The 23,644-nt window shown below is 39.1% G+C and overlaps 1 long non-coding RNA gene across 1 annotated transcript; it reads right to left on the bottom strand.

Moving 5' to 3' along the window:
* Positions 1 to 7,630: 7,630 nt before the first annotated feature.
* On the bottom strand, positions 7,631 to 18,711 carry LOC105372920 (uncharacterized). The gene is made up of 4 exons (XR_922600.2): positions 18,675 to 18,711; positions 10,923 to 11,054; positions 9,505 to 9,596; positions 7,631 to 7,946 (listed from the first exon to the last, which is right to left on the bottom strand). It is a non-coding gene; the product is annotated as an uncharacterized LOC105372920 (long non-coding RNA).
* Between the last annotated feature and the right edge of the window lie 4,933 nt (positions 18,712 to 23,644).

The raw sequence follows: 23,644 nt of genomic DNA on the forward strand, positions 1-23,644 counted from the left end.
TCTCTCTAGAGGAGCAGAGCATGCAGAGCAGAGGTTAAACACCTGGGATCTGGGTTCTTCTTTAAGTATTCTAAGGAACTTTTATTTTATTTTATTTTTGTATATATTAAAATGTACAACATGATGTTTTGATATACATGTACATAGTAGAATGATTACTACTGCCAAGCAAATTAATATGTCTATCATCTTGCTTCTTGGTAGATGTGAAATCTCGGTTCAATTGCTTACATTTTCTATACTCCCACTTCTAAGTGAGGACAAAATAACACCTACCTCATAGAGTTTTTTGTGATAATTAGTCCAGTAAAAATGTGCACACTTTTAACAATCCCTAGTGCACAGTAAACATTCAAAAAGTATTAGCTGTTATTAGTCATTTGTTCATAAATGCTATAGAATGGCGGCAATCTTGTGAAAGGCACTGTTGTAGGCACTGTGGATATCCAGTGATATAAAGGAGTAATGTACATTAAGTGATGATAGTGTTTGTGATTACTATGGAGGTTGAGCTATGAGGAGTGAAGCTGGCTGATGGCCCCTACCTATAACATCTTTGGACCTCCTACTGTGTTCACACAGGCCTGGATTTCCCCAGGCTAATCCTAGACAGTACTGACCAGAAGGTGCTACAGCCAGGTCATTTCTGCTCAACATGAGACTCTTCTAACAGGCCATCTTTGCTCCAGGGCTTCCCACCAGCCTGTCCAAGGCTTTCTCAGAGCTGCATTGTAATCCGAGATCCTCCTACCCATTCTTCCCTTCTGATCCTCCTCTTACCTGTCTTCTTTTGCAGATATCAGACCTGTATTGCTGTCTGAAGGCTCTACCCACCCACTTCTCCTCCCTCTCCCCTTTATCCTTCTAAAGCATTTTCCCTTGTAAACCTCTTGCACATCTAAATCCATCTTGGCATCTGCTTTTTGGGAGACCCAAACTGACCCAGTGCTAAAAAGAAAAATAAAACAGGGTCAGGGAGCTAGAAAGTGACTCAGAGATACACAGGGCGTTTACTGAATGCCTATTTAATAAGATGAGAGAATTTGTTGATCTGTGGGTGGGTGAGGTATGCCAATATCCAGAAGGAGTGTATTTAAGACAAAAGCATTGGCAAGTGCAGAAACCCTGAGATGGGAACATTCTGGGTGTGTTTAAGGACCAAGAAGAAGCCAAGATATCTGGCATGACTTGAGCAAGGGGGTGAATGAACTGTAGGGGATAAGGGCAGATGAGCAGCGGAGAGCCACCTCTCTTAGGGCCTTATAGACCCAGATAAAGACTGCATTTTTTTCTATCACAGAGATGAAACACTATTGGAATGTTCTGAGCTGAAGATTGACATGATCTCACTTTTTAAAACACAAAAGCAGGATTGTTCTACCTGCTCTTTGGAGAACCCAGTTAAGTTGGTGAATTCACAATGGAAAAACAAAGTGAGTGTGGTAGACAAGATTCTAGGTGGTCCCCAAGAACCCTGCCCCCTGTATAATTCCCTCGCCTTGAGGGTGGGTAGAACCTGTGATCCAGTTATTAATTAGTTACCTTGGCCTAATCAGATAGGCCCTTTAAAAGAAAAGCAGCTGCAGCAGGTGCACCCCTGCTGGCCTGGAAGAAAGCAGAGCCATGTTGTGACATGTCTATGAGGCCCACATGGGAAAGAGCTGCAGGCAGCCTCTAGGAGCTGCGAGTAGTCCCTGGCCACTGACAGCTACTAAAAAACAAGGACCTTAGTCCCACAACTGTAAAGAACTGAATGCTGCCAACAACCTGTGTGCTTGAAAGAGTACTATGAGCCTCAGATGAGATTGCAGCTATACTGACACCTTGAAATCAGCCTGATGAAATACTGAGAAGACCAGCTAACTTGTACTCAGACTCCTGACCCATAGAAACTGTAAGAAAATAATTTGTTGTTTTAATAATAAATTATAAACAAATAAATATAATAAATAATAAATTTATGTTCTTTGAAGCCACTGTATATGTAACAATTTTTTACAGAGCAATAGAAAATGAATCCAGTTGGCAATGGTGGAAAACAAGCAGAGAGGCTATGTAGTTAAGAGGCTATACAGTTCTCCAGATGGGAGATGATGGTGGCTTGGGTCAGGGTAGTAATGCCATATCTTTTGGTGGTCAAGCCAATGAGATTTGTTGATGGATTGAATGTAGAGTGTGAGAGAAAGACATCAAGGATGACTGCAAGATGTTTGGCTTGAGCAACTGAACGTTTGGAATGTTCAGTGACTGAGAATGGAAAGACTATGGGAAGAACATACTTGATATCTTTTTGACAGACTGAATCAGTAAGAATCACAAATTCTGTTAAATTGGGAATTCCAAGTATACATCACAGTGAAGATGTCCAGAAGGAACACTTGAGTGTATGAATTAGGAATAATGGGTGAGGTCCAAGTTGGACATACGTTAATACATTTTGGAGTCATTGGCAAATGCATGATATTTAAAACCTTAAAAATGGATGAGATCACAGCAATTATTACTAATATTTCCAGACCTGTCCAAGCCCCCTCCATCTCCCACCTGGACTTCTTCATTAACTTTCCAGTGGTCTCCCTGATTCCACTGCCCTTTTACTATCCATTCTCCATGCTGCTGCTGGAGGGATTTTTTTTTAAACCCACATGCAAATCAGATAAGGTCACCACTCTGTTTAATATCTTCCAAAGGATTCCATCACACCAAATTAGTTAGCTTTTGTTGTATTACAAGCCACCTCAAAATTTAGTAGCTTGAAGTAACATTCATTTATTTTCATTCCTGATTCTGTGGGTCTATTGAATATTTATTCTGCTCTCCAGTGCTAAGCTGGGGCTGGATGATCCAGGATGGCCTCATTCCTATGTCTTGTGGTTGCTTAGTTGGCCAAGTCATAGAGGGTTTAGCTGAGATGTCTCTTCCCTTCTCCATGTGATCCCTCATTCTCCAGCAAGCTGTACCAGGTTTTTTCCAACAGCAGACTCAGAGTTCCAAAGAGCAGCCAGAGAGCAAACCCCAATGCACAAGAACCTTCCTAGGCCTTTGTTTACATCATGTTTGCTAATGTCCCACGGGCCAAAGTAAGTCACTGGGCCTACCCAGACTCTAGGAGGTGGAGAAATAGGCTGTATCTTTTGATGAGAGCCACTGCACTACAAAGGCCCACTGCAAAGAGGAATATGCAAAGAACAGCCAGGAAGAATTAAAATTGCACCTAGAAGACAATTCTGAATCCTTACTCTGGCTTTCAAAGTTTGGCATGATTTGACCCCTGCTCTCTTTTTAATATCATCTCATTCTATTCTCTGTCTTTCTTTTTAAGTAGGCTTATTTTTTATTTATTTATTTATTTATTTATTTATTTATTTATTTATTTATTTATTTTTGAGACGGAGTCTTACTCTGTCACCCAGGCTGGAGTGCAGTGGCGCGATCTCAGCTCACTGCAAGCTCGGCCTCCCAGGTTCACGCCATTCTCCTGCCTCAGCCTCCCGAGTAGCTGGGACTACAGGTGCCCACCACCACGCCCGGCTAATTTTTTGTTTTTTAGTAGAGACGGGGTTTTACGGTGTTAGCCAGGATGGTCTCGATCTCCTGACCTCGTGATCCACTCACCTCGGCCTCCCAAAGTGCTAGGATTACAGGCATGAGCCACCGTGCCCAGCCTAAGCAGGCTTATTTTTTTCTGCAGCAGTTTTAAGTTCACATCAAAACTGAGCAGAAGGTACAGAGATTTCCCATAAAACCCTGCTCCTATTCATGCATAGCCTCCCCTATTACCAACATCCCCCACCATCTGCTCTTTTATACCCTAGGTCTTGAGCCAAAATGCTTGTCTTTCCGTAAGTTAACAAACTTTTTCTTGGTTCAAAGAACCTGAAATGTTTCTTCTGTCTGGAATGTTTGTTTCCCCAGCTTTATTGAGGTATAACTGATAAATAAAATTGTACACATTTTAGATATACAATGTAATGATTTCGTGTATACATATACTGTGGAATGGTTACCACAATGAAGTTATCCATCACCTTACCTAGTTATCTTTTTGTGTGTGTAGGGTAAGAACATTTGAGATCTACTCTCAGGAAATTTTGAATATCCAATACAGTATTATTAACTATAGTCACTGTGCTGTACTTGAGCTCCCAGGAACTTATTCTGGAATGCACTTCCCCCAAATCTTGGTATGACAGGCTCCTCCTTTGCATTGAGGCCTCAGATTAAATGTATTCTTCTGAGACAGGCCTTCTCCTATATCCTGATCACTCTCTATCTCATATCTCATCCTCTGAGTAAATTCTGTTTATAATATTTATGATCACTTGATTTCTTCTAGTTTGTTTATTGCTTCATGTGCATGACCACCACCCCCTTCCAAAAAAAAAAAAAAAACAAACAAACAAAGTAAGCTCTGTGACTGTAGGGATTTCATTTTGTTTATTCCAAGAATGGCACCTTGCATGTAGTGGATATTTAAGCAACTGTTAAATAGCATTCTCAAACGCCAAATGAAGAGTATTTTTCTCTTATGGGAAACTGAGAGCTGACTATAATTGAACAACCTCAGTTCAGCTAAAATTTATATGAAATCTGTATAACTAAAATGATAAAAGAATAGAAAACTATTTTAAAGTAGGAAACAAATATGTCTTTTAGACACTCAGGTAATATTCACTGTCTTTTAAAGGAATTTACAATGTTAAATTTCTTTTTAAAGGAGTTCCCTTTTGGTGATGTGACTCAGATGTAACAGTGCCCAGGTCCCTGGATTAGTATCTTGCCAGCCACTCATTTTCAACTGTTCTCTTCTGATTCATAACAAGTCGTCAAATATCCTTTAATGAATAGGAAAGTCCTTGATACTTACTTCCTGTCCTTTCTGACATGTTTGCCAAAAAGCCACTCATTAACAAATTTTATTTCTCAACTGACCGGCTATTACGGGTTGAATATTTGTGTCCTTCCAAAATTTATATGTTGAAGCCCTAACCTCCAATATGATGGTATTAGGGGGTGGGATTTGGGAGGCAATTATATTTAGATGAGGTCATGAAGGTGGAGCCCTTGGGATGGGATTAATGTCCTTACAAGAAGAAGAAACACCAGAGCTTCCTCTCCCCTCCATGTGGGGACACAGCAAGGAAGCAGTCATCTGAAAGCCAGGAAGAGGGCCCTCACCAGGACAGGACCATGCTGATGCCCTGGTCTCAGACTTCTGGAACTGTGAGGAATAAATTCTGTTGCTTAAGTCACCCAGTCTATGGTATTATGTTATGGCAGCCTGAGCTAAGATATCTCCTTACCCTCCTTTCCCCCATTTTCTTTCTCTTTCTCATTAAGCCCATTTTTTCTGGTTCAACCAGTTTTAGTGATTCTGTTTTCCAGGGGACATCTGTAGCTTGTTTCATTTGTATTTTCTGATTAGTTCTTGCATCAGATTCATTTGTCTGCTCCAGTGCCATTCACTTTTCTCAAATGAAACAATTCTTGTCTCCTCTAGTCTACTCCAGCATTCATCAACTTCCTCTCATATACCCCAGGGAAATTTCCATTCTCCTGGCAATAGGCAGAGAACTTCCCAGGCACTGCACTGGATATCTTAAATCTGGTTCCTAAAAGTCAATGTGCAAATAGAGATGAGTGCAAATTGAATGTGGTGGGAGTAAGGTGGCAGAAGAGTAATATTCCTGGGATTCTAGAATACTGAAAGTGGCTATTGACCAAAGTCACTGCGAAAAGAATATACTATGTGTTTACTTGCTGTTTTGTTTTCCTTCTGGTCATAAGAAGCCCTCATTTCCCAGCCTCCTTTGCATCTAAGTGGGGCTATATGTCTAGCTCTGTTCAATGATATGTTTGTGGAAGTAATCCACCCCACCTTCAGGTTTGGCACCAAGGCTGGTGCAGCAAAGTGGGGAGGAGCTTGACACAATTAAAGAATGGAATTCTCTGAGAATTATCCATCAATATGAAGGTAATGGGAAAAGATGACTGTCTAAAAGGCAACTTAGCAGACTTTTCCTCCCATGGGGTAAGATTAAGAGATTAAGACTTGGGAAACATTCATATGATGCTCAGTAACTCCTGGTGACATCCACACAGAAGTTCATTTGAGATTCACAAGCACAGAGGAAGTTTCTTACTAAAAACTAACAGAACCACATAAAATAAGAAAGTGAAAATGTATAGAGAAAAAGTCTAGCTACTCAGAGACCTGCGCAAGAAAAGAGAAAATGGATAGCCAGGGAGCAGGAGCAATTACTATCAATAATAGTTACTTTCAGCAGTAGTCTACATTGGGCTCCTTAGGAAGGAAAGCTTCCATTCTTCTGGCAAGGGAAGGAGAAACTGCCTGATTGCTGGAGCTGGGGCAGGTGTGGTGGGGTTAATGAATGCTCCTTGTACAGGTTTCCAAGACATTCTTCTGTTATCAACTCCACATCACACTCCAGCCTTCAAAGGTGGTGGGGCTTGTGATAGGAGCTATCTTTGTTCTTACTAGCTTTGTCCGCTGCAGACAGTTGGAATCCTGGTTTCTCTATTCCCTGCCTGTAGCAACCACTTGTAAGGCACTGTGTGCCACAAACTGTCTGCCCAGCTGATTTCAGTGCAGTGGTAGACAGTCCCATGTGCATGATCTGTTTCCCACATCAAGCATGGACTTCAGCCTCTCTCTGCTTTGCCATCCCAAAGTTTTGTCTGAAGTCATCGCCTGAAAGCAACCCAGAGGTATAAAGATTTTAATCCTCCTGAAGGCAGCCCTTTAAAGGTAGGGGAGGGAGTCATGAACACATGCTCTAGCCTGCTCCAAGTTGCTTCAACACGGCTCCTCTGAAAGCCCCCAAGGGATCTGACACCCAGTTGTGCAATATAGGAGTCAGCTAGCTCATGAGCCCCCTTCCAGTTTCACATTCCCCACCTTCTCACTTCTGCAGTCCCGGTTCATTTTCCATATAAGGCTTTGTTTCATCTTCCGCTTTTAGGGAAACCCAATGTTCCAACTAGAATTTCCAGCTGCCAGTGTCTTGTCAATACATCTGCTGCAGTTTCTTCTCTAACTCTTTTTGTCCCTTATGGGTTTATAGTTGTACATTTCTATCATCAAGTCTGTGGGATTAGGAAAGAAGTGGAGGTAGCGTGTGTCTTCAAGCTGCTCTTCTCCCCCTGCTGAGTCGTACCCAATCCTGAGCTTGAATGAAACTTCCTGGATCTTCCCATCAAAAGGTCTCCTCTTTTGCTTTCTTGTAACATCATATATTAGTCTTCATAACCTGAACACAATTTGTAATTTTATCTTTATTTGTTGTTTTACCACTCAACCACTAGAATCTCGGCTCCATGAATCAGAGTCTACATCTTTTTTGTATATCTCTATGTGTTTTTGTTCAATAAACAAAGGATTTTCTACTGTCCTGTAGGTTCTAAACAGGTCCAATTCCTCTAGCCCTCCCTGTGGTAGTTAGGTGACTGCTCAGGTCACCCACACAGAGGCTCTTCTCTACACATCTCCTTGAAAAGGCTCAGCTTTGAGCAGATTCACAAATATGTCATCAAGAACTAGATGTCAGCTAGAGAAGGACAAAGTTCTGCAAGCGTGGACACAAGTGGGCAGCTGATTTGGGAGATGGAGGCGAAAAAAAGAAAAAGCAGAAGGGCACAGAGCTAGGCTTGGTTTACTTTACCCCCTGCTCTGGCTAATTCACTGCCTGACTCCCAGTACCTTATAACTGGTATTATTCCTTACTGCAGAATTGCCCATAGCTCCTGGTTCCTGGGGTCCTGATACTCCCTTGCTTATGAACAAGGATTCCCCTACCATGGTGAGGCACCCTATACCTGCCTGAAGCAGCCTTTGATACCATCGCCAAAGATAATACGCAGATACTCTGAAGACCACCTTCACAAGACCTTCAGCCACATGGCAAAATATAGCATGAAGATAGTGCCTGTAAAGTAATTTAATTGGTGATTCTTGTTTGAAAGACAAAAATAAATGATGTTTCAAATAATGGTATCTGAGATATTTTACAGATAGACCAAAGATTGTTTGATTTAAAGAACTATTAAAACACCACAAAAGGATTGAGAAGGTTCACCCTCCCCCTTTCTAGAAAGTCCTTCATGTGACATCCATCTTCACACTGCCCCTGATTTTAAAACTAGCACATGTATGACACATAATACAACATTTATAAATTAAGGAAGCCCACCTCTTTTAAGTAATATTCTTTAAATCTCCATTTCTGACAGTCCTACTATTTGCACAGTAACTGTAATAGGCGTATTTTTTGGAAAATAGTGAATAAAAACTGACAAGCTATCTGGGGAATCTGAATGTATAATTGATAGGGGCATAAATTAATATGATTAGGCCTTTATTGGGTGCAGTGTCTGCCAAACCTACAAAAGGGGCCTGGAATGAATCACGGCTGTGGTCTCGAAGCTGATAGACATCAATATGTAATGTGGATTATCTCAAGCTTTCTCATGTGGTCCACTTATGACAGCACTGAGCCTAATTGAAATTTTTATCTTTGTGTTGCATACAGACAGTTTTGGCTGGTCACTTCCTTTGGAAAGAGGAGCGAACCAGGTGATAAAAAAATCAAGGTTTTCAGTGAAGGTCTTAATAAAATCGTTTTATAAAGGTTTTAGAAATTAGTGCTCTGTAAAGCCACTTTGGAGAAACTGACTTCTGGAAATTCCTTTGCACTGTGATTTTCTGAATATTAAGCAGGCATGTCCAAACCAAAGTAACAAAGACACAGAAGATTCTGTCACTTCTGTGGAAATTGACACGTTCTTCATAAAATTGTGGTTAGTAGTTTAGCCTTTTTTTGACGTTGTGCAAAACCATTTCTTAATTACAATGATAAAATACATCTTTGTAGGGTAACATCTATATTTCCATAAGTAACAAAATTAAAATAATTTTTCCTTTGATTCTAAACAACAAGCATGTGCTTCAGTTAAATAATCATCCCTGCTTATCCGTATTCTTGCTGATACATGGCTTCCCACTGTATGTTTTAGGTTGTAATTCTATAATCAAAAACAGGAGGTCAAAGCTGTTATATTTACAGAAGGACATGTTAAGTTTCAGAGATCAAAGCACTTAACATCTGTAATTTTCCAGAACTTCATCCTTTTATAGCATATAAAATATTAGCTGCATTTTACATCTGCCCTTGGCAGTAATAAGTTTCAGATGTGAAACAAGTTCAATATGATTTTGGGGAACATTTGTGTATGGCAACCAGAAAGGTCAGTATGTTTTATGTACTTTGTGATAAAAGTAAGTGTTGATATCTTGGGACTGGAAAATGAAAACTAATGGGGCATTGGAACTTTCTTGGTGACCTCATGAAGCAATTTACGATCCTTTTATCACCCCTAATATGACGTTGTCATAAAAATGATCTTTTAATTAAATGTAACAGGAAAACTCTGCACCCTCATTGGGGTGTTTCTGGTCCTGGTGAGTTAACATTTTTAATAGCATACCTTCAGCAGTCAGCAATGTTGAATTTATAAAATATGGTTCCTCTCAAACACTTTGAAAGCTATAATCTCCATAGCTGTATCAACCTAAGGGACTGAAGAGCAAAAAGAAAGCAAGTGGAAGAGTTATTCTTGCAGAAAGGCAATGGAGTATAATGGAAAGACAATTGGCTTAGAACAGAAATGGCCTATCACATACTAAGCTCCTACAACATGCCAGGCATTCTGCCAAAAACTTTACCATAACTTTTATTTCATGTAGTTTAACTCTTGTTCTCTGGAGAACTGGGTTCTGTATCTGACTCTGCTACTATTTGCTTGTATGATTTTGGGCACAACATCCTACTTTCAGTTTTCTCTTCTGTAAATGGAGTGAGAGAGAAAAGAATTGGACCAGATGGTCTCTAATTCCAGCATTAAACTTCTATAGAGGCAAATGAATAAGGATAGAAAAGTGAGGAAGAATCAGAGCAAGGGACATTATTGAAGGTTAGCATGAACCACCCACAGTCCAGGGTTTTAGAGACACAGACGATCGAGATATGGTTCCTGACACTGAAGAACTTGTAGTCTTGTGGGGGAAATGCCGTGTTAATATAAAAGTTAAGTGTACTGGAAAAGGCAAGCCCAGAAGGCTATGAAAACAGAGGAGAAAGTGTAGGTCAAATGAAATGTTTAGGGACGGCCTCTGGAGGAGATGATGACTAGCTAAGCCTTAAGTAACGAGAAATGTTAAGTTGGGTGAAAAAAGGTAGGATTGTCCCAGGCAGAGGGACACAGAGGAATAAAATGCCCTGATAAATGCAAGGAACTGCAAGTGGTTTGCTATTACTAGGGCATGCCATACAAAATGGATAGTAGGGGGAGCAAAAATGGAAGAGAGAAGGGGGACACAGTCTAAGAACATTCTTGAAAGCTGGACTAAGAAGCATGGATTTTGCCCACAGGAAATGGGAAGCCACAGATGGTCAGGCTGACTTTTAGGAAAATGACTCTGCCTGCAAGATGAGGGAAATTTTAAAACAGAATAAAAATGGAGACAGGGAGATTAAAAGGCTACTGTAGCATTTGTTGAAAAGATAATGAGCTCTGAACTAGAGAAATGGAATGGGTGTTGAGAGGAGTAGACAGATATGAGAAACATTTAGAAAGTAAAATCAGCAGGGCTTGGGCTTAATTGGATATAGGATTAGTCCGGGAAGAAGGGACAGTTCAAATCAAAATGTCTGGCCAACTCCTTCAATTTAAAAAAACTGAAAGTCATTTAATCTAGTGGAAAAACTCAATTGACTCTTTGTTATGGTGGTCAAAAAAAAAAAAGATTAGTTAACTGGAATCTTCATATTTTACCAAGTAGTTGGCATGAGTCTAGCTATCACTTATCTACCCCAGAAGCCAGTGGTAAAGAAAGCCATTTTTACCATCACTTCGTAGTTGATAAACGGAAATCCTTGATATCAAGTGACGCACTCCAGTGATGGCCGGTGAAGGGAATCAAGCCAGCTCTCCCAGCTTCCAGTTCACACCCTTACTCTTTGCGTAGTACGCCTCTTCTGTGACAGAAGGACTTAAAGCAATTATTTTCAATTCATATTGTTATTAGCATTCATAATTCTAAAAATATTTTTTCTCTGCTAACTTAAAGATTTTCCTTAGTAAAATTCCTTAGTAAAACAGTTTTCCTTAGTAAAAATTGTCTTCAGTATTTAAAATTCAAGTGCCCAAATACTTGCCTAAAGAGCGCCGTGTTGTAGCTACAATACTACAGAAAAGTGGACACATTTAAAATATCAGCACGCTTCTATTTGAAAAGGTAGCCCCAAATAATTCCCTATTATAAAATACTCTTTTACATGAGACGTGTGCCATTCACAAGAGGATTCTTGACAATGTAACTGAGTCTTGATTTTCCATGGCCATTGGGTAAAGTGTAAGCATGGATAACTGGAAAAACAACAATAATCCCAAGTCTCACTCTAACTAACCTTTTCAATCTCCTCATGTACCAACTCTTTTACCAGAGCTTCCAGCATGCAATAAAATTGACCTACTTGAATTTTGTCTTTTTCTCCCTTCAAGAACTGTGGATGATTTCATCCTGGAACACTAGGGAAATATGAAACACAAAGACCTCACACATTAGCTGCAATAGTTAATTTTTTGTGTTAGCTTGACTGGATGTCCAGATAGCTGGTAAAGCATTATTTTGGAGTATGTCTGTGAGATTGTTTCTGGAAGAGATTAGCATTTGAATCAGTAGGCTGAATAAAACAGATGACCCTCTCTAATTTAGGTGGGCTTCATTTAATTCAATGAATTCCAGAATGGAATAGAAAGGCAGAGAGGATGAATTCTTCTCTCTCTCTGCTTGAGCTGGAACATCCACCTTCTCCTGTCCTTGGATCAGCACTTCTGGCACTTGGGACTTGGAACTCAGACCAAGACTTAACACAATTGGCTCTCTTGGTTCTCAGGCTCTTGAGCTTGGGCTGAAACTGTGTCACTCGCTTTCCTGGACCTCCAGCTTGCTGACAGCAGATTGTGGGACTTCTTAGCCTTCATAATTGTGCAAGCCAATTCCTATTATATATATCACATTGATTCTGTTTCTCTGGAGAATCTTGGCTAATACATTAGCAAACAAGGTGATATTTAGCAAAGGCCATACATTGTATTTAGAAAGTTGCTGAAAAATCCATTAACTCTGCACTGTATCTTTCAATCTTCTTCTGAGCTATGAAATCCTAACAACTCAAATCAACATTCTCTCAGCCCTGTGTTAACACAGGAATTTCTCAGGGACTGAGGTCAGTGGTCCAGGAATTAAAATCGAGTAGGAAATAGCAACATATGGCTGTGGCCACTGGGTTGGAATGTGAATGTTAATAACACAGTACATTTGGTGCCTCGACAGGTAAGTTTTGTTCAGCATGATTCTGTTACTTTTGTCTCAGAAGGATGGCAACAAATGGATTCGAGAGAACAGTTTTCATACTGACTATCTCTCTCTACTCTTACTGGTTCAAGCTCATTTTATGTATTGATTAGACTCTTTGAAACATCTTCCTAAATGATCTCTCTGCTTTCTTAATACCTTTAGAATAATTTGTACTCTATGCTACAAGAATTACGATATTTGACTTGACTTGTTCCCAGAGACATTTCAGTATCTTTGTATAGTTTATATGATAAAACCTAAATTCCTTTACTGGCTTATGACCCATTTATGGCTCAGCCAATGCCTCCGTGTTCAGCCTCATGTCCTGCCACTTTTCATTCCTGAGTTTCAGCCAAGTTAAACCACCAGTAGGTCTTCAAAGATACTACCTTCTTTTATGCCTCCCCACACTAGCATAGTGCCAGCTCACCAATTCATCAAGAGCCAGCTGGCCAGCAATATTGTACAAATCTTGGAAAAAGTCAGGGCATGAAGTCCAGACAGTCACGAGCTGGAATCCAGGCTCCACTACTGACTGGCTGCATGACCTGGAAGGAATTACTTAAGTCATTAACCAGCAGAATCCTCACCAGAAAGAATAACAATGGTATCTACATTATAAGAATTATGGAAGAATCAAAGAGTGAATGTATGTAAAACTCACAGTACAGTGCCTGGCACTTAGTAAGGACTCAAAGTATTAGATGTGACCATATTATTAGTAATTTTTAATCATTCTTTTATGCCTCTCCTAGGTCCAGATAAGTGGTCTATCAGCCATATTCCCAGACACTTGCTGTAATTGTTTGAAAGTCTGTCTCCTCGTACAGGCTCTGCAGGATGTGTGCGTCTCACATGGAAGCCTCAGGACCTGTCTTTGAATGAATTCGTGAGGAAATGGAAAACTTCTCTCTACTGCTCCTGTAAATGCAGAATAAGCTACATTTTTTTTCACACCCATTGCAACTCGGTGAGAATTCCTTATGACAGTTTATAGCACATTATCAATCTCCTCTTTATTGGAAAATGGGCTTTAAATTTTTTTCAAGAATATGTGAAGGACAGCTAATGAGCCCATGTTTCACTGATTTGAATCACATACACTGCTTTCTATAAAATAATTATTTTTTACAGCGCATTTTAGCAAACTACATGGTATCTTTGTCTTGGAAATGATGGTGTTCTTTTGTTTTTATTTAGTCATTTTCTCGAATCTTCCTTCCTGTTACTTATTACTACATTCTATTTAACTCTACTGTTTGCTTTAGCTGTTGTTATATCTTTCTATCATGTGTTTCAATCAAGTGGGGTGAGGTTTGTAGAAAAATAAGGTTAAAGTGAGCCTTAGAAGACAAACACAGTAGCCATGGTTTGAGAATGGCTAATCCACCATCTTGAGACAAAAGTTGACTTTCTTTTTAATTTAATTCCATTAATATATAATAATACATGTAATAAAAATGTAATTTTTATTGTAAAAAGGAAACCACAGAGACACTGAAGCTCCCTAGAACTCTCAGATCCTTTTCTATGCTATGTTTGTACATGTATGCATATTGTATATGCATATTTATTTTTAATCATTTTTGACACTGAATTCATAATATGTTTTCTGAGTTTTTAATATGCAACACTATCATTTGGAAATCTTACCATGTTAGTAAGTATATAACTCTTAGTTTTTTAACTTTTGTATAGTATTCCATAATATGGCTACTCTGTGATTTATTGGCCATCTATTCTTGGTAGACATTTATGTTAGTTCCATTTTTTACACTGTTGCAAACAGGGCTGCAATAATAACATTTCTAATTTTGTCTCCTTTTATAAGGGATCTACATTTCTCTTGGAGTTCATGCTCAGAATTTGAGTTTCTATGTCTCATTGTTTGGATTTAAGAAAATGTAAATGTATTCAATTATTTTTTAATAAGAATACAATCATGTAGTACAAAACTCAGAAGTTATAAAAGGGTATTAAGAAATCTGCATTTTCTGCTTTCTCAAGCTTGGAACATTTACCCCTGTGGAGCTGAGACAACAAGGAGTCCAGCCCATAGGGAGAAGATATGTGGAGAACCAAGGTGTTCTAGTCAACAGTCCCAGATGAACTGCCAGGTGACAGTCAGAACCAGCCACCAGTCATATGAGTGGGCCATCATGAGTGCTCCAGCCTACTCAGATCCCCAGATGACTGTAGCCCAGCTCCCACCTCCAGATGAACCACCCTGCTGAGCCCCATCAACTCTCAGAATCATGAGAAATAATAAACCATTGTTATTTCAAGCTGCTAGGTTCTAGAGTGATTTTTTCCCCTGCAACCTAAGAGTATAGAGACTCAAGATGCCCTAAATATATGCTGTAAGAGTGATTTTTAATTGAATAATAAAAATGTTTAAAATATTATCTCAGCATAATTTTAATTCCCATTTTTATTATGAATGGAGTTGAGCATATTTTCATATTTCAGTGTTTTTAATGAAGTTGTATTAAAGTTGAGCCACCACTGGCTTAATTGTGACAAATATCTCTCCTCCTCACTCCCCATGAAATATACCTCAGTTATTTTTTTTTTTTAGTCCCCAGAAGATTACCTCCCACAAAAGCCTTCACCCCGCAGTCATCAAGCAGTATCTTCCCCAGGCTGGAGTGCAGTGACATGATCTTGGCTCACTGCAACCTCCACCTCCCAGCCTCAAGTGATTCTCCAGCCTCAGCCTCCTGAGTAGCTGGGACAACAGGCATGTACCACCACACTCAGCTGCTCTTTTCTGTTTTATGCCTTCCCTCTAACATGGCTTGTGAAATCCCAGGAAGAAGTCTAAGTATTGCTACTGCCATGCACTTTTTTTATCCTACCCAGGCCCAAAACTTTTCTACTGCTTATAAAATAAAATCTATGCTTATCAATAGTTGATAACATTACTGGGAAGGCTTGGAGGAGGGTTATTAGCACTAACAGCTTTAGGGCTCTAGCTCTGCCAGCCATGGAGTCCCTGTGAATTTAGAGAGCTCAAAGTGGATTAATTCAATGCTCTCATTTTAGATATAAGACAACTGCTCCTAGCCAGATTGAGATATTGATTCATTGTTACAAAATAAGTCAGTGGTAATTTTAGGATTAGGGTGAGGATCTTGACTTCAATATTCTATACATTGGCTACCTATAATTGTGAGTAAACTAGGCCAGGCATGGTGGCTCATGCCTGTAATCCCAGCACTTTGGGAGGCTGAGGCAGGTGGATTGGTTTGAGCTCCAGAGTTCAAGACCAGCCTGCAGAGGTGGGTGGATTGGTTCAAGCTCCAGAGTTCAAGACCAGCCTGGCCAAAGTGGCAAACCCCATCTCTATAAAAAATACAAAAATTAGCCAGGTGTGGTAGTGCACACTTGTGGTCCTAGCTACTCGGGAGGCTAAGGCTGGAGAATCACTTGAACCTGGGAGGTGGAGGTTGCAGTGAGCCAAGATCACGTCACTGCACTCAAGCCTGGGTGACAGAATGAGACACTGTCTCAAAAAAAAAGAAAGAGAAAGAAAGAAAGAAAGAAAGAAGGAAAGAAAGAAAGAAAGAAAGAAAGAAAGAAAGAAAGAAAGAGAATCTAAAAACAAATTAACTATAAAAAAATTTTTGAATAAACCTTTTTATATTTTACTTTTCGTTCTGTCATAGAAAGTCTCCAATAGCCTTTGTTCAGTATTATTTGGCACTCTTGGTTACACGTGACAGAAACTTAACTCAGACTAGCTTAAACATAAGATAAATATGTTGGCTCCAGTAACTGAAAAGTCCCTGCATGGTGGGATTCCAATGCCCAAAATGTATTGTCAGGGCTCTGTTTGTTTTCATCTCTCAGTTTTGCTTTTAGCTCTTGGCTACATTCCCAGGCTGGCTCTTTCTATGAGACATAAAGAAAGCTACCAAGAGCTTCAGTTTTATACAGTCTTTTTACCTCACAATCTCCTGATGGCCTTCTTGGGTCACATGACCTTCCATGAATCAAATATCATAGCTAAGGAGATGAAATACTCTGCCTGGGCCTGGGTTATAAGCCCACCCTTGGGACCTGGAGCAAGGGCAGAGCAATATCACACCTAAGTTATGCTGAGTGAACTGGGTAATTGCAACATAGGGGAGACATGGTATCCATGTAAAAGGGTATGAAGCAGACAAACAAGGAGTTGTCTACTACCTGTATTAATATTTATCCAGTCCCCTTTCTACTAGATATGACATTAATAAAACCTGGTACTTCGTTGAAGTTTCTGAACTTTTGTGGATAAGATTTCTTAACTAAAACCTTATAAGGCAATTTAATTACCAATTCAGGTTTTGGATGGTCTCTGCCCCTTGTTCTGGGTGAGGCAAGAGTAGGAAAATGATTCATGCCGGTGGACAGCTGGTACTACTCGGATTCTTGAGTGAGCGTCTGCATTTAACTGAACAGTTACGTAAACACACAATTTACATAACCATATGCAGCAGTCCTGATCATCACTTTCCAGTATCCTGAGGGTTAAATAGTCTTAAAACCAAAATTGTCATTTTTACAGCATTTTTAAAAAATTAGCTTTATTGAAATATAATTTTGTAAAATACAATTTACTCACTTTAGACAGTATCAGTCTCATGAGATTTAACATGTAGCAACCCCCATCCTCAAAATATAGAACATTTCCATCAGCCTGAAAGTTTCCCTCGTGCTCAGTCAACCGTTTTTGCCCATGTTGGCTTTTAGCTATCTCTCACTTGTTTTCTGTCACTATAGTTTTACCTATTAGAGAATTTTATATACGAGAAAACATGTGGTCTTTCATAAAGGATTTCTTTCACTTAGTATGATACTTTTAAAATGCAAATATATTGTTGTGTGTACTTGTAGTCTGCACTGTATTATATGGATATACCACAATTTGGGTATTCACCAGTTGATAGTCATTTGGATTCTTTCCAGCTTTTGGCTATTATGAATAAAGCTGCTATGAACATTCACTTACAACTTTTTATGTGAGACATATGTTTTTATTCCTCTCAGGTAAGTATGTAGCAGTGGAATTGTTCAATTGTAAGGTAAATATATAATTAACTTTATAAGAAACTTCCAAACTCTTTTCCAAAGTGTCTGTGCCATTTTGCATCCAACCAGTAGCATATGAGATTTCCACATGCTGCACATGTCTATCAACACTGGGTGTTATCAGATTTTTAATCGCAGCTGCTCTAGGGAATGTATTGATATTTCATGGTGGTTTCAGTTTTCATTTCCTTAGTTAGACTAACGACATTAGTCCTCATAACTATTGATGTGAGCATATTTCAATGGCTTATTGGCCACTTACATATCTTCTTTGGTGAAATGTCTTCAAATCTTTTCCCTTTTTAAAATTAGATTGTTTGCTTTATTATTGAGTTGAAAATTTGCTTTATTAAAGACTTCTCTATTTAGCCTCACATATGTCTTCACTTGATGGGAGACGAAACAGAACAATGACTATTTATCCCCAGTTCTCTGTAGGGGGAGAAACATATTTTCCCTTGCCTTCATGGTGCCCTACATAGAGGCAGCTCACCTAGAGTTGCCTTTCTGCCTCTTTGCCTGTCCCTTCACCAAGAGGGTGAGTTTAAAGAGCTAGCTGATTGGTGAATTTGGGAAAGTTTGTGAGTGAGTTCAGTGAAGCTCTTGGCTCTGGGATTTGTTGTGTGCAGGGACTGTGTCATTTCTCCTCCTTTCCACTTTAATCATATCTTAGCCTGTGGTTTTCCAGCCACTGCATGTGCCTGGGAGGTTTCATTCAATTCAGAAGATCCTAAGAAGCCCATTTGGTCTTTACACTAAGCTTTACCAAAAATCAGCTTTTCCGGCAAATTCATTATGGGAGTGATTATTCCATTATCTTTGTCAAATAATGTTACGCAATCAAGGGAATGATTATCGTATCATATTCATACATCTCAACCATACTGATGGGAAGGGGATCACACAGGGCAGGTAGACCAGGAAATGGGGATATTGGAGGCCTACCCAGTACCTTATACCACAAGAATAAGAAACTATCTGTACTCAGGACAGAAAGATACATGTAAGAATCTGCTTTTTAAGGGGTTTTAGGTGCACACAAGCAAATTACAGATGGTGCATATCTTTAAGAACTCAAAGTGTGTTAGGCTGTTCTCTCATTGCTATAAAGAAATACCCAAGGCTGGGTAATTTATAAAGAAAAGAGGTTAAACTGACTCACGGTTCTGCAGGCTGTACAGGAAGTATGATGCTGGCATCTGCTCAGCTTCTGGGGAGGCCTCAGGAAACTTACAATCATGGTGGAAGGTGAAGGGGGAGCAGGCATGTCGCATGGTGAAAGAAGGAGCAAAAAAGTGCAAGGGGGGAGGTGTCACACAGTTTAAAATGACCAGATCTCACAAGAACTCACTCACTATTGCAGGGACAGTGCCAAGGGAGATGGTACTAAACCATTCATGAGAAATTCACCACCATCATCCAGTCACCTCCCAACAGGCCCTACCTCCAACATTGGAAATTACGTTTCAATATAAGATTTGGGCAGGAACACACATCCAAACTATATCTCCAAGGTAACATAGATCCCACTTCAACTCCTGGTTTTGGAAATGACCAAAAACCGAGATATTAAAACAGTGACAGAAGACTTCTTTTAGGGCCTAATTTTCCTATTTAATAAATATTCCATATTTATATTCATGTAATCATTATCTAACTGCACATTTTTGCCCTCTTTGCCAGTATTTCTAACATCCATTATCCTCCTTGCTTCACCATTCCTGTACGTTTATACTTCTATTCTTTATTTCTTTTTCATAGAAATCTTGTAATATCTGCCCTGGGACTTCTGAAATCTATTTTTATACCAAACGATTCAAGATGGATAATTTCTAAGGATCCATGTGTTCAACCTAGAGTTTGGCAGATCTCTAGGGAACAGATTACAACACACCACCAAAGTCCAAACTGAAAACTCAATTTCTCCCAGACTGATGACTCACAATCTGGCTACATATGGGGCACCTGCTGACCAGTTTCTCTGTTGCAGGTTCCCAGGCAGGTTACCTTCAGGAGTCTGTCAGTTCTGTTAAAATGAGCCCCAGTCACTTCTTTGAGGGTGACCAGACATCCTGGTTTTCTCAGAACCATCTCAATTTATGACTATTTTTCTGGTATAATTATTCCCTATGCACTTTTCACTCTCAAAAGTGTCGCAGTTTGGACAATATATGGTCACTCTATGATGCGTTGAACTATACATTCCAAATTAGAACAGTACTTCATGCACACACATGCACACACACACACACTAAAATAGTAAATGTAAGTATTTATTAAATTCAAACTCAGCTTATGTGCAAAATTCAAATTGTTTGACAAATTTGACTCTATGCTTTCTGAATTCCATTATGCATTTTATGGGCTTAGTTCTATAGTTAATAATAAAGTTTTTTAATTAAAAAATTTACAAGCCTACCAGTATTTCTGTCTACCCAAACTAAGATAATCAAGTAATGTATTCTGAAACTATGAATATATCAATAATAAATATTAATGGAGCCCCATTTTTCAATGCTATTATGTTGTAGAAGACCAGAAATGCTCTGCCATGATCTGTGATTCTAAAGACAATTATAGATCATAATAAGGTTGAGAAGGGAAAAGAGAACGAGAGGAGACACTGAAGAGGTAAGTTAAAATGGAAGACATAGGCATATCTAGGTCATAGAAAACTGTGGATGCAAATCCTGGCAGCAAATAATTAAGAGGTAATACCCTTCAAGTACCTACATGGATAAGTTCACCCAAGCAGCTGAGGTCAAACATCAGGTAAAGAATCCAGGACGAAGAATATAGAAATGCCACAGAAATCAAGTAAAATCCAATGATGATTCATTCATCTTTCCAAACTTAACTGATTATTTTCCTTCCCACTCTGGTAGAATAAAATTCCTGATTGTTATAGGACGAAATACTTGCTAAGGAAGGTAACTGAAGGCAGATGACCTGGTTTGAAGTGTAGGTCAGGGAGCAGGCACTATTTTTACTGGAGACAGTGTCTGGAGTGGCTTTATTTACAGAATGTACTTTTAACAAATATTAGAGTAATGTTATGCTTCAGGTTTTGTGCTATGTGGTGGATGCAAAATTGAGAGGAAAAGAAGAAAACTACCATAATGATAATAAACAATAAGATCACTTCTCTTAAGGAGCTTATTGTCTAGTCCTTTAACTATAGATTTCATTCTGTTGTTAAATATACATTTCAAATTGTACTATATTGATTGAATAATCATGATACTTTTTTATTACTTTTATGTCTAGTTAATTATTTAGAAAATCTTTAGAATTTTTGGGGGGCAACAGATCTGTTTTGGTCATTGTCCTTCGTGTTAGGACTAATGCCTGAGAATCTCTCATTGTGAGCTAAAGCTCTAAAATGATATTTAAGCACATTCTAAATATAAGCACAATGCTGTATTATTGGGTGAAAATGTTCATTTTCAAGAGACTTTTTTTTCCAAAAAGCACCAGACAATTACACATTCATTGCTTTCCTTAAGTGCTATCAGTTACATAGCCGCCACATAGTATTTCAACATGAGGTTAATTGCAGCTAAAGAAAAGTTTATGATTAGTCCAGACAGGTATTTTTCTTCATTGTCTAATACCATAAATCCATTAAATTCCTATCCATCTTGTCATCCTCTCCTTGAAGACTTGGTTATATGACCTGCAATACTAGTTCAGTTTCGTGATTATAATTGTGATTGGCAGAGAGCTTTCAGAGTTGCAATAAATTTTGCTACAGGCAGAGAGGGATTTGGTACCACCCCGATTCCACTGTGAAATCTGAATTTTCAACTATCTTATTACTGGTGAACAGTCTCATTTGCAGGAAAGAAACAAAGCAATGAATGTGAATTGTTTGGAACTTTTTGGGGAAAAAAAGAGCTCATAAAAATAAACATTTTCACCAAATAATACAACATTGTGTTTATCTTTATAATGTGCTTAAAATACTATTTTAGAGCTTTAACTTACAATGCCAGATTCTCAAGCATTAGTCCCAGCACCAAGGACAGTGACCAAAACATATTCATTACCCCCCAAATTTTTGCTAAATAATTAACTGGGCATATAAATCATAAGAAAGGTATCATGCTTATCCAATTCTTCCGGCTTTAATAATTCCAGAAATTTGCCTTGGAGGACAAGGTTTGAAGTAGCTTGTAGATATGTGGCTTGTCTTCTTATTATTTGTCACTAAAGCATACCACTGTCCTTAACCCTGTATTCTGGAATTATCCTGTGTCCTAGGATTGTTTTTCAGATTATTTTCACAGCCCACAGATAATCCTGGGATATAGGGGAGGCAGTAGGATGCTTGTCAGTAGAAGTGGTCAACACAGTTTCCTCTGCTCTATTTTTTTCTTTCATAAAGCATATTTCAGGGACTTTCTGGGGTATGTGCATTCATGTGTGTGCATATGTGTGTTTATAAACAAGTAGCCCACATGCCCATGATAGATGTATTCAAAAAGCATATTTCAAAAAGCATATCTCAGGGACTTTCTGGTGTATGTGTATCCATGTGTGTGCATGTGTGTGTTTATAAACAAGCATGCTCATGATACATGTATTCCTCCTTGAAATTTCAGTTGTTGACATGCTGGAAAAATTGGGTACATAAATTATTTCTGCCCCTAGGCACTTTAACTTGGACGGCCAGCACTTACTCCGCTGGTCACCATAGGTCTCCCTGTCCTTGGCAGCATTACAGGGGTAATATTTTTTAACATGGATGAACAGCTCTTGAAAATTTCTCCAATGTATTAAGCATGAACAAGCCTTTCTTCAACATCAGACTTGCATGTCTTCCCTTCACATTTATTTCTCTACAACAAACATATTTATTGGGGCCATTATGAGAAAAATCTCCCTCTCCATAAATGTTTGTCTTCCCCTTTGTCCCTTTTATAAGATCGTGAAGAAATGATGGAGGGTCTTGTTGGGTGGTTGTGTGTGTGCCTGTATGCTTTTTTTTTTTTTTTCCTCTGGGGAACTCCCTTTTATTGCACGATTGGCATAAAGTCTTTTTTTTTAAGCCAGACACTAGGTTTTGGTTGTTTGCTTTGGAGTGAGAAATGGGCTAAGTGACAAAATAGGAGATAAGCAGGACTTAAGAGGTAAATGAAAAATGGAGTATTCCCTGTAACAGCATTTGCCAAACATTTCTCCATTTACTGCACCCATTAGTGTCACTAAAGTGTACCTAGGTGATACTGTTGTCACTGATCATGCTCTAGCCAAGGAGCTGCCTAGGAGCAGTTTCAATTGTGGAAGCGAGCTAAATGAATACTGAGATATTAATTAATTTTTCAAAATTTTTATGGTTCTACATAAAGTCAATAGAAAAGTAATCAAATTTTCTGACAATCACCAAGAGCAGTTATTTCTGTGGTACGGGACAATACTGCTCAGATGGCCTGATGTGTGTTTCACAGTGTCTGGGTTCATAATTAAAATAAAATTTAGGGTACATTTGAATCTTGTTTGTGTGAATAATGATCGTTTAAGATTCTGTGGAATCTAGGATGCAGCTGGACAATATAAGGATGAGTTTTACACTGTGGCCTTAGGGAATAAAGAAAGCTATTACTATAATTACAGGCATACCTTGGAGATATTGTGGATTTGGTTCTAGACCACCACTAATATGGTTTGGCTGTGTCCCCACCCAAATCTCATCTTGAATATTAACTCCCATAATCCTCATGTGTCATGGGAAGGACCTGGTGGGAGGTAACTGAATTATGGGGGTGAGTTTTTCCCATGCTGTTCTCATGATAATGAATAAGTCTCAGGAGATCTGATGGTTTTATATAGACCAGTTCCCAGCAGGGCACGGTGGCTCACGCCTGTAATCCCAGCACTTTGGGAGGCCGAGGTGGGCAGGTCACCTGAGGTCAGAAGTTCGAGACCAGCCTGGCCACATGGTAAAACCTTGTCTGTACTAAAAATACAAAAATTAGCTGGACGTGGTGGCATCTGCCTGTAATCCCAGCTACTCGGGAGGCTGACGCAGCAGAACCCTGGAGGTGGAGGTTGCAGTGAACCAAGATCACACCACTGCACTCCAGCCTGGGCGACAAGGGTGAAACTCTGTCTCAAGAAAAAAAAAAAAAA

This window comes from Homo sapiens, chromosome 1 (assembly GCF_000001405.40).
Source record: "Homo sapiens chromosome 1, GRCh38.p14 Primary Assembly".
Lineage (NCBI taxonomy): Eukaryota > Metazoa > Chordata > Mammalia > Primates > Hominidae > Homo > Homo sapiens.